At 41.6% G+C, this 12030-nt stretch overlaps 1 protein-coding gene across 8 annotated transcripts in view, besides 3 other annotated features; it reads right to left on the reverse strand.

The window, feature by feature from the left end:
* XPA (XPA, DNA damage recognition and repair factor) overlaps nt 1–11206 on the reverse strand; it is a 42943-nt gene extending 31737 nt beyond the window's left edge. For 4 of the 8 annotated variants that reach the window (NR_027302.2, NR_149093.2, XM_006717278.2 and 1 more), the window contains exons 1-4: nt 10987–11206; nt 7515–7625; nt 3400–3505; nt 962–1127 (exon numbers count right to left, since the gene is read on the reverse strand). Coding sequence is in view for 3 of the 8 variants with exons in the window: in XM_006717278.2 (XP_006717341.1) it covers nt 962–1127; nt 3400–3505; nt 7515–7625; nt 10987–11158 (555 nt within the window). In the remaining 5 variants the exon portion in view is untranslated. Of the gene's footprint in view, nt 1–961; nt 1128–3399; nt 3506–7514; nt 7626–9963 lie in introns of all 8 variants that reach the window. The other 4 variants (NR_149092.2, NR_149094.2, NM_001354975.2 and 1 more) reach the window with 3 other exon arrangements.
* Nucleotides 10598–10657: an enhancer, noted in NCBI's record as "active region_28675". NCBI's record gives its function as "activates an Ori minimal core promoter by ATAC-STARR-seq in GM12878 lymphoblastoid cells {active_cell/tissue: GM12878}" and the evidence as "EXISTENCE:reporter gene assay evidence [ECO:0000049][PMID:35858748]".
* Nucleotides 10668–10717: an enhancer, noted in NCBI's record as "active region_28676". NCBI's record gives its function as "activates an Ori minimal core promoter by ATAC-STARR-seq in GM12878 lymphoblastoid cells {active_cell/tissue: GM12878}" and the evidence as "EXISTENCE:reporter gene assay evidence [ECO:0000049][PMID:35858748]".
* Nucleotides 11268–11367: a silencer, noted in NCBI's record as "silent region_20102". NCBI's record gives its function as "represses an Ori minimal core promoter by ATAC-STARR-seq in GM12878 lymphoblastoid cells {active_cell/tissue: GM12878}" and the evidence as "EXISTENCE:reporter gene assay evidence [ECO:0000049][PMID:35858748]".

Here is a 12030-nt window from a genome sequence, read left to right on the forward strand (position 1 = left end):
TCTTAATTTTATTTGGAGATATGGGATTTTCTAGTATAGTATATATTCAAACTGTGCTCTAAAGCAATGCCTCCCAATATTTTAAGCTAACAGCACAAAAAGAATATTACAATATTTGTACCACTCTGAGGTAGATACAAGAGGCTGCTTGTGACTCAAAGAAACTGGCCTGGGCACTAGCAGTCCTAGCCACTAAGTGGATCACCGTCTTGGCACACCTATAACCCATCTGCAGCAAGTGGAGTTGAGACGATCTGCTCTGAGATTATAGAGCTATATGGACACTCGCTAGCATTCCAGATGGGTAGAGTTAGATTTTAGGTATTTATGAAATTCTTGAAATTTTTCTTTTTTTAAAATATTTCTTTTTTGGTGGGAGATGGAGGTGAAAGAGGGTAAGGAAACAGGGCCTGACTCCCATTCCAACCTTTTTTAGTTTCCAAATTGTACTCTTAACATCACCCAATAGCAACAGGTTTCTTTCAAAGTGCCATATTAGAAGCAAAATGAGGCCAGGCGTGGCGGCTCATGCCTGTAATCCCAGCACTTTGCGAGGCCAAAGCAGGAGGATCACTTGAGCCCTGGAGTTCGAGACCAGCCTGGGCAATATGGTAAAACCCCATCTCTACAAAAAATACAAAAAACTAGCCAGGTGCTACTCAGAAGGCTGAGGTGGAAGGATTACCTGAGCCCGGGAGGTCAAGGCTGCAGTGAGCCATGATCTCACCACTGCACTCCAGCCTGAGTGACAGAGTGAGACCTTATTGTTTGAAAAAAGAAAAGAAAAAAGCAAAATGAGAAAACATGTTATTAAATGTCATTATACATGACTGTGAAGCATATGCAAAACTAGGGAAAAGAGTTTTTCCACACTCTGTAAGCAAAAGCCAAACCAATTATGACTAGTTTGTTATTAAGAATTTACCAGAGTGAAAAATAATAAATACAACTTATTAGAGACCTGTAACTTTAAGTAGAGTTTCATATCACCCCATTGTGAATGATGTGGATTCTTCTTCACAATAAATTTAAGAGGTGGCTCTCTTTTTTCTAAATCACAGTCTTTCAGAAGATATTCTTGTTTTGCCTCTGTTTTGGTTATAAGCTTGTGTTTATCATCAGCATCTCTGAAAACAGATTAAGTCCATTATATAAATTAGTTATTTTAAATAAGCTAAGTTTGCAAATAGCCCAGCAACTTAGGGGCACACACAGCAAAAAGGACATATAAAATACTTTTTCCTGCAACTCTCATGGTTAAATTAGCAACATAAGAATTCTAACAGAAAAATACTTTATCTTTTACTTATTCTGGTAAGTTACATTATCTAGAGAAAAAAACATTCCTAGCAAAGGGAACAGCAAGGGAAAAGGCTCTAGGGCAGGGGTGTATTTTGCAAAGAGAGCTTACAGCAAGAGGACCAGTGTAACTAGAAGACCTGAAGTAAGCGATGGTGAGGAGTGGTGGGAGATACAGTCAGAGACAGTCAGGACCTTGCAAGCAATGGTGAAGACAATGGTTAGAAACCACTAGAAGGTTTTGAGCAAAATACTATATGAAAAGGAGACCCTAGGGGTGCGAAAGGGGTAATGGGGGAGAGACCAGTTAGAACACTACTGCGGTGGTCCAGGCAAGAGCTGATGGTGGCCTAGACTAAGGCAGCAGTGGGAGAGGATGAGATGCCGATGAATTCAGGATATGGTGAACCTAGAGCCAAACAGGTTTGGAATTAATACACACAGGAGAGTGGAGACATAGCCAGCGAATGAAGCTGGCTTTACTGAAATGGTAAACACTAAAGAGCAGGTACAGATCAGGGAGGGGAGAAATCAAAGGTTCTATCAGAGGATTCTATCACAAAAACATAAAAGTTAAAACTGGGAAGAGCTATACAAAAGCTAAATAATTCAGAAGTATAAACTAACAGGAGACATGTAGACTATATGGTACTAAAACTATCATCTTTGATGATGTTGAAAAAGAATGGAGGACTGTGTTCCTGATTATGATTAAATATAAAAGTGTAATGTTTCCAGACTTTTCAAGGTGTTGGCAGGACCACGTTCCTTTCTGGAGGCACTAGGTAAGAATCCATCTCCTTGCCTTTTCTAGCTTCTAGAGGCCACCTGCATTCCTGAACACGACCCCCTCCTTCCACTTTGACAGGCAGTGATGATGGCTTCTCACATTGCATCACTCACTTCTTCACTAATCGCATGTCCCTCTGACTCTCAGCTTTCCTCTTCCACTTCTAAGAAAGCTCATGTGCTTGTATTCGGTCTACCTGGATAACCCAGGATAATCTCCCCATCTCGAGGTCTTTAACCTTAATCATATCTGCAAAGTCCTTTTGCTATGGCAAGGTAATATATTCACAACTTTCTTTAAACTGGTACAAGAGTTGCTTCCATTTTCTCTTGGAAATAAAATTCTATGTAGTGTTTCAGTTCCCAAAAGCTATACTGGCCTTTAAGAATGACGACAATACTGTGGACTTTAACCACTGTGTCGGTGGGAAATGAGTTTGTAATCTATAGTTCCAGCTGTGGTGCCAGAGCATTCCCAGCCATGTATCTGATCATGAGACCAGGGACCACATCTCCCTCTCTATCTACCAAGGATTCTGCTCAGCAACAAGCCAATCATGATGGCTCCCAATGTCTGCAGCAGGGACTCTGAAAGGGCAGGTCCTTCAGGCAGGTGAGGAGTTGATTTAGGACTGTAGGGACAAAGTAAGCACAGGGAACAGGTAAGAGGGCCAACTAAGATTCCAAGATAAGACCTTCAATGTGCAAAAGATATCAACACAGCATTTGGCTGAGTAAACAGTAGTGATAGGAGAACCACGTGAAGTGAGAAAGGTTATTCTGGGTGATATAAAAAAAAAGGATAAAGTCTAGAAGAAGAAAAAGAATGGAAGAATATAGTTCTTCCTCATCTATTCTCTCTATGAGGGTAGCAAAAGATGAATGAAAAAGGTATTCGGAGCTACTGTCCTTTCACTGAAGGCCCCACTCCTCTGACCAAGATGTAACACACCCTGGAATAATTAAGAAATAGAGGGATCATTAGGGCTGGGTGAAGAGAAGGGTTAGCAGCCTACTACTGAGAGACGTTAAAAAACAAAAACAAAAAAAAACTCAGGCCAGCAGAAAAAGAAAAGGAAATTTCTATGGCAGAACCATCGGCATCCTTCCTATTTTATGGGGTATATCATAAGCTTTAATAAGCACAGATTTACAGTATTTGGCAAAATAGAAACCATAGAAATTTTAGGAAACACCCAAAATGAAATTCATAATTACTAAGAAAATATCAAATCCAAACAGATATAACTTGTTTTGCCCTAAACCTACACATAAACATTAGCAATTAAGAACACCATCTAAAATAAGTACCTGCAGTTATCACAAGTTGGCAAATCAAAGTGGTTCATAAGATAAGAATCCATAAATTCTTTCCCACATTCTTCGCATATTACATAATCAAATTCCATAACAGGTCCTAAGAAAAGGAAAATGAACTCTAGTTTCCTTTTTTATGACTAGAACAATATATTTTCCTCTATTTTATTAGCTTATCAGCATGTATGCAATGCCTGACATAAATACATTTAAGTAAAAGACAAAATAAGACCTTATGTTTATCTAAAAAAAAAAATTAAAGAGGAAAAAAGAAAAGGAAGTAACATAAAGAAAAAAACGTAGCAATTCCACAAATATTTCTGAATCCCAGCCATGTACAAGGTACTTGTATTAGTGCTACATTAGTTATAAGAAACTACCACAGACAGAGTGACTTAAAACAACACACATTTATTATCACACGGATCTCTAGTTTATTCTGACATGGGTCTCAGCAGGCTAAAATCAAGGTGTTGGCAGGGCTGTGTTCCTTTCTGGAGGCTCTAGGCAAGAATCCATCTCCTTGCCTTTTCCAGCTTCTATAGGCTGCCTGCATTCCTTGACTCATGACCCCTTCCTCCATCTTCATAGCCAGCAATGGTGGCTTCTCACACGGCATCACCCACTTCTTCCATAATCACATGTCCCTCTGACTCTTGGCTTTCCTCTTCTACTTTTTTTGTTTTTTTGAAATGGAGTCTTGCTCTGCCACCCAGGCTGGAGTGCAGTGGCACGATCTCAGCTCAGTGTAACCTCCACCTCTCGGGTTCAAGCGATTCTCCTGCCTTAGCCTCCCAAGTAGCTGGGATTACAGGTGCAAGCCACCATGCCCGGATAATTTTTGTTTTTGTTTTGTTTTGTTTTTTGAGATGGAATCTCGCTCTGTTGCTCAGGTTTTAGTGCAGTGGTGCAATCTCAGCTCACTGCAACCTTCACCTCCTGGGTTCAAGCGATTCTCCTGCCTCAGCCTCCCAAGTAGCTGGGATTACAGGCACGCACCACCATGCCCAGTTAATTCTTGTATTTTTAGTAGAGATGGGGTTTTACCATGTTGGCCAGGCTGGTCTCGATCTCCTAACCTCGTGATCCACCCACCTCAGCCTCCCAAAGTGCTGGGATTACAGGCATGAGCCACTGTACCCAGCCCTAATTTTTGTATTTTTAGTAGAGACAGAGTTTTGCCATGTTGGCCAGGTTGGTCTTGAACTCCTGACCGCAGGTGATCCACCTGCCTTGGCCTCCCAGAGTGCTGGGATTACAGGCGTGAGCCACCGTGCCCGGCCCCTCTTCCACTTTTAAGGAAACCTGTGTGCTTACATTGGGTCTACCTGAATAACCCAGGATATTCTCCCTATGTCAAGGTCTTTAACCTTAATCATATCTGCAAAGTCCTTTTTGCTATGATAAGGATAATATATTCACAGGTTCCAGGGTGATTAAGGCATGGACATCTTTGGGGGCCATTATTCTGCCCACCACAGCACTGCTGAAAGTACAAAAGAGATTAGTCCCAGAGTGGTAGGGCAAAAAGGGATCTGCTTACAGACAGGGCACCAACATTGCACAAGAAAAAGCAATAAACAGCATGGTAATAGAAGAGAGACAACAACAGAATTCACTTCCAAATGGAAAAAAATTTTGTCTCCCTCCATTCTATCCCCTACCAACAAAGCAAATAGCTTCTTCAACTGTCTCACCTTGTGGATTATAAACTCTTTAAGGGGAGAGGCTGTATTCAGCCATGTATCCTCAACTCCCAGCACAGAAAAACCACTCTAGGTAAGGTAAAGCTAGATTATTTAAGGACTTCAAATGCCTAGCTAAGGAACTTAATCCTGTAAGAACTGTTTCTCCCAGCAAGTCTTTAAATTTTACTAGTAAGGCTGGCACAGTGGCTCACACCTATAATCCCAGCACTTTGGGAGGCCAAGGTGGGTGGATCACTTGAGTCCAGGAGTTCGACACCAGCCTGGTCAACATGGCAAAGCCCTGTCTCTACAAAAAAAATCCAAAAATTAGCCAGGTGTCAATTAGCTGGGTGACGGGCACCTGTAATTCCAGCTACTCTGGAGGCTGGGCAGGAGAATCGCTTGTGCCCATGAGGTGGAGGTTGCAGCAAGCCAAGATTGCCCCACTGCATTCCAGCCTGGGCAACAAGAGTGAAACTCCGTCTCAAAAACAAAAACAAAAAAAATTAGCCAGGCATGGTAGTGTGTGCCTGTAGTCCCAGCTACTTGGGAGGCTGAGGTAAGAGAATCGCTTGAACCCAGGAGGTGGAGGTTGCAGTAAGCCAAGATCATGCCACTGCACTCCAGGCTGGCGACAGAGCAAGGCTCTTTCTAAATAAATATATATATATATATATATATATATATATGTAAATAAATAAATTTTACTAAGAAGTCTTTAGGCTGAATGCTCCAACTCTCAGAACTGCCACAATTTCCAACAAGAAGAAAAAAGGAGTTGTCGGCCAGGTGCAGTGGCTCACGCCTGTAATCCCAGCACTTTGGGAGGCCGAGGAGGGTGGATCACCTGAGATTGGGTGCTCAAGACCAGCTGACCAACATGGAGAAACCCCGTCTCTACTAAAAGTACAAAATTAGCTGGGCCTGGTGGTGCATGCCTATAATCCCAGCTACTCGGGAGGCTGAGGCAGGAGAATCGCTTGAACCCAGGAGGCAGAGGTTGCGGTGAGCTGAGATCGCACCATTACACTCCAGCCTGGGCAACGAGAGTGAAACTCTGTCTCAAAGAAAAAAAAAAGAAAAGGGGAATTGTCATTATGTCATTAATTGTTTGTTTCAAAATATTCCTATCACTGCCTTCCCTTACCTCCTTCATTATAACACACTAATCTCCAAACTTTAAGAAAACAAACAAACAAAAAAATCATGCTTTTTTTGTAGAATATTAGAGAAGCATATCTATAGACAAAAGGAAAACTAAAAACTTTGGAACAAGGCTAGTGATAGTCAAAGTGGTATCTTTGAAAAATTTACCAGGATGCATTAGAATGAAGAGAAAGTGTGGTAGAAATACCAATTAGGAAGCTATTACATAGCATTATTAATCAAAACATTTAAAATGTGCAGTTTTCTAATTTAAAATATTCTTTATAATGGGAATTCCTAAATAAACACAATGATAATTTTCAAACTGTCACTCCCTTTTACATTTACCACTCAGAAACTGGCAGTCTACCATAAGCAAGAGTTGTGTAATTATTTCATTATATATTACAATGTAATAATAATGGAAATAAAGTACACAATAAAATGTAATATGCTTGAATCATCCTGAAACCATCCCCAGCCACCCCCCAACCCCACCCTGGGTTTTGTCTTCCACAAAACCAGTCCCTGATGCAAATAAAAACAAATATTTTAATCCTTCAAGTCTCAGCTTCTGCAAACAACAATATAGACACACATAGATCAAAGCAGAGCAACCACCTACATTGATGAATGCACAACACTTCTGTAGCTGCAACTAAAGACTGGAATAGGTCTTTTTTTTTTTTTTTTAATAAAAAGCTGTTATATTGCACTGTTGGCTGCCAAACTTATGAACAAATAAAGTGTTTCTATCTTTTTCCCAAAGAGTGTGAAAGTACCCTCACTGTGAAGATATGTGTACATATAAGTGATTTACCAAAGCACTAACCTTAGATCATAGTTACATCCTTCTTTTTATGCTGGTCTATCTTATACTTTGTAAGCTGCTTTCTTTCTCCACAGATAAATAAAAGAATGTCCTAAATGTTATCTCTTGGATTCTGGTGCCTCATTTCAGCCTATCAAGATAATTTTGAGTATTTATTCTACCAATCAATATACTGGCTAACCCTGCCTATTATAAAACAACAGAGAGCAGCAACCCCTAAGTACATCAGCCACAAGTTAAATAATCATTTCCATATGCATGGCTGTTTCTTTGATTGTTTTTTTAATCTACTAGCAAAACTGCCAAACTTTATCACTTTTATAAAGATAATGTACTCACTGATTAAAGTAGTTATGGCATTATTTAGCATCACTTTGCATAGAATTATGCATGTTACTCAAAATAACCAATCTAGATACTTATTTTTGAAAAACTCACTTTACCTGGTTGATGAACAACTTTTCCAATTTTCTGTTCTTCTTCTTCTTCCTCTTCTAAAATGAAGCCTCCTCCTGTGTCAATTATCTTTGGGGCTGCTTTTACATTAGCCATGCCTACAAAAGTAAGTAAAAGCAGTCAACAATTGAAGTAGGTAAGCCTGTATGTTACCTTGTTCATAAATAGAAAATTCCTTTGAATTCAATATATCTCAAACAACACAAGGATGTCCACAATCACTACTTCTATTCAACATTATACTGAAGGTCCCAGCTAGTCTAACAGAGCAAGAAAACCAAAAAGGCATAAAGGATGAAAAGAAAGAAGTAAAACAGCATCTATTCACAGATGATGTAATTATGTGTGTAAAATATCCACAAGAATCTACAATTAGAATTAAGAAATAACAACCTAGGAAGAGATGTGTACAACCTCTGCCCTGAAAACTACAAAACACTAAGAGAAATCAAAAAGGACTTAAATGGAGAAATATACTGTGTATGGATTTTAAGCCTCAATATTATAAAAACGTCAATTCTTCACAAATTTATCTAAAGATGCAAGGTGATCTCAGCTAGAACTCCAGCAGTGGGGTGCGTTGTGTGTGTGTGCGTGCGCACGTGTGCACCCGGAAATTTCCATTTCATATTTTGGGCCATGGTTGATTGTGGGTAACTAAAGCCACAGAAAGTGAAACCTTGGAAAAGGGAGGTCTAACGTATGCATATCTGACAAAGGACTCACATTCAGAATACATAATAAAATCCTCTAAGTCAGTAAAAGACAACCCAACTTTTAAAAACAGGCAAAAGATTTGAACAGGCACTTCACAAATGAGGATATCCAAACGGCCAAAAAGCACATGAAAAGGTTCTCATTATCTCTAATCATTAGGAAAATACAAATTAAAACCATAATGAAGTATCATTAGACTCTCACCAGAATGTCTAAAATGAAAAAGACTGACAATACCAAGTGTGAGGATGTGGAACAACCAGAACTGCCATTTTGCTGGTGAGATTGGAAACTGATATAATCACCGTTTGGCAATATCTACTAAAGCTTAACATAACTACACCTCTCCTATGACCCAGCAATTCCATCTCCAGGCATATACACAAGAGAAGTGAGTGTGTATGTCCACTAAAATACATAAAAAAGAATGTGTACAGAGGTTTCATTCGTAACAGCCCCAAAGTGGAAACAACCCAAATAGCCACCAAAAGGAAAATGGAAAAAATTGTGGCATAATACAAAAGAATCTATACAACATCTAAATGCACAAACTACCAATGCACGCAACAAAATGTGTGAATCTCTCAGATACTATGTTGCGCAAAAAAAGCCAGATACTGTATGACTCAATGTACATGAAGTTTGGAAATAGGTAATACCAATCAAATGGTCAGAAGAGTATTACTTCTGAGAGTAGAGAGTGGACACCGACTAGGAAGGCGCAATAGGAAAACTTCTAAGGTTCCGGAAGTGTACATGTCTTGATCACGATGGTGTTTACACAAGCATTCACATAGGTAAAATTCAGATGAGTACATTTTACAGTATGTTACACCTCCATTTATTAAGACAGATTAATATGTTTTATTCTGCTACAGTCACTCCCCTTCTCTGGCCTCAATTTCTCCCTCTATTAAATGAAAGGATTAGATTATAAACTTGTTTCCACTGTTAACAGCAATTCTCACACTATAATGCCTGTTCATCTCTCTGTATCCCTTCATTAGACTGAGTGCCTTTACTTGTATACTTCTGACAAATAGTAAACATTCCATGAGTACCAACTGGATGGATAGAAATGAATGAACCTACCAGAATATGTAATATAAATAGCAAAGTAAATGAATGGAATGACAGTAAACACAATGAGAATTAAGAAGAGGGAAAGCTGGAGTAGTCGAGCCCATGACTTGAGCAGGATCCTAAACAATGCTAACTCATGCCCAAAACAAAGTCCGATTTCTCTCTGCTGCTATGCCTTGCTGTTTCCCCAGGACCTTAGCACCACTCTTCGTATTCTAAGCAAGTTTTTTCAGTCTTTCATGGCATATGTCATGGCACACAGAGAAAAAGAAAATTGTATAGTACCATGAAATAAAAGTGTCACAAAGATAAAAATCTCAGCACTTACCTAACTCTTGAAACATGGTGGGTTGTACACAATGCTACAATACAGTTCAGTTCTTGGGGAACTGCCTAAGAAATCTTAAAGAATGTTCATTCTACCTTGCTTTCCATGATCAAAAGTTTAATTTAATGTCAGTTTTTGCTATTTTGCACCTTCCGTTCCACAGCCATGTCGTAGACCTGGAAACCTTTATGGAATCATGACTATGAATTAATCAGTGCAAATGAACTTTCTGTCTGACTCTAGCGTGCCTCAAGTTTAGAAAGGAATAAAAGGTAACCACTATAAAGTAGAAAGGATGAGACCAGTACCATCAAAAGTAGCTGGAATTTGCAGTTTCGGTGTTAGTATGAACATCAAGACATGCTGCCAGCCTCAGACTCTTCTCACTCTCACTACATCTGGCTGATAAAAAAGAGTAATACAGCTCTAAACTGTGCTCGACAAAGGGCAGTATAGAGCTTTAGGAACACATGTACTTCATGTTATAGAGGCAGCCCTGAAGAACTGCCTGTCAACCAAACTATATTTTAAGTATCCTGTTAAAGATTATTAGTTGACCCCAGTGGCAAATTCTATAAGAGAATAATCTGCAATGAGAGATCAGTCCTTAATTTACTTCAATCAATAAACACGTTTTGAGCAACTAGTTTTTGCCAAGAAATCGCAGAGGTCACATGTCCAAGAAATAGACTCATGGAATCTATGGATTAGAATCTTAAAGGTTTACTATCCAGTCCCTTCTTCTGATTGCTGAGTAGGAGATTCTGATTGCTGAATCTCCTCTCCTCCACATAAGTAAGCGTTCTTCCAGTTCCTATTTGAGCGCTTCTAGTAACGGGAAGCTCATGAGAAGCAATCCATTGCACTTTTGGCAACTCTAATTGTTGAAAGCTCTCCCTAACAAACACCAAGATCTGCCTCTTCCATCAACTAGTTCTAGGTATAGAGGCCAGAATCAAGAACTAGTCTAACTCCTCTTTCCGGGACAGCTGAGGCCCTGACACCTGGCAGTGGCTGACACCTCCCGGCCGGGGCGGCTGCATCCCTAAACGAAAAATCGAAGCTGCCAGCAGCCGAGGTGCAGCGAAGAAGGCCCGGGGCTGGGGGTCAGGAGGCCCGCGTGCGACAGAGGAACGCTCTGTGGTCGTGGACAGGACGCTTTGACAAGGCGGCTGGCTGGGCGGATTCCCTCTCCGACTCGGGGAGAATCTGCACACATACGCCAGCGGAGTTGACGCGACCCCCGGGCCCCGGGACTCGGCTTGCACGAGCCAGTCTGGGGACCGGGGAGGCGGGGAGAGGGAAGGGGAAAGCGCGGACGCGGCCCAAACCTCCAGTAGCCGCAGCCGCCGTCGCCGAGTAGGGCCGGGCAGCCAGCCGGGCCTGGCGCAGCATCAGTGCCCGCTGCCGCTTCCGCTCGATACTCGCCCGCACCGAGGCAGGCAGCTCCGCGGGTTGCTCTAAAGCCGCCGCCTCCGGCAAAGCCCCGTCGGCCGCCGCCATCTCTGGCCCACTCCGAGGACCTAGCTCCCAGCTCCACGCACGCGCACTGCACGCCGAGGCGAGCCAGCCGCCCTGCACCGCCTCTGCGCTCCCCGCACCCAGCGGCCTTTCTGAGTGAGAGCGCCTGCGCAGTTAAGGGGCTCGGGGTGGCCTGCCCGGGCGCTGGGCGGAGTCTGGGTATGCGCGGACACGGAGTACCCGCCTAACTACCTGCTCTCTTGTCATCCGGGAGAAGGGTCCGTGCTGAGATCATATCTCACGACCTGGTCACCTTTAAAATAGGTCTCGCTTGGTGATTCAGAGTATAGGCTTTGGAGTCAGGCCTGGGTTAAGTCTGAGCTCTTGACAGTTAAAGTCTGTGTGACCTTGGGCAAGTTATTTAACCAGAGTTCAGTTTCTTCAGTGGTAAAATGAGGATAATTATGGAACCATTTACCGAGTCTTTGGGAGGATTAGATTGCCAGGACAATAACCTGGCACGTAGAAGACCTCAAAAAATGGTAACAGTGAGTAGTAGTAGTGCCAGTCATAGAGCCCAACAGATGATAGTCCTGATTTTATGTTGGATACACGGCCTAGAGACACAGCCTTAGATTTAAAATGAGAAGACCTGGGTTGAAACTCCCAGTTAACTTGCTGTGTGACCTCAGGCAAATGCAGGACTTGCTCCAAGGCTGATATGCATAAGGTTGGCTATCTTTCCCATGGAATATTCCTTCAGTGAGGATGAGCTACTGCCAGGTAGACAGTGGGTTTGGATCTGGGCCAAATATCCTGACTTCCCAAAAGTGTGGCTAGTGTAACAAAAGAAACATAGCAGGCTTTCCCAAAAATGTATGCTTTCCCTTTGTTACAAATAATGCTTAATTGAA

The sequence above is a fragment of the Homo sapiens genome, chromosome 9, assembly GCF_000001405.40.
Source record: "Homo sapiens chromosome 9, GRCh38.p14 Primary Assembly".
NCBI classification, from domain to species: domain Eukaryota; kingdom Metazoa; phylum Chordata; class Mammalia; order Primates; family Hominidae; genus Homo; species Homo sapiens.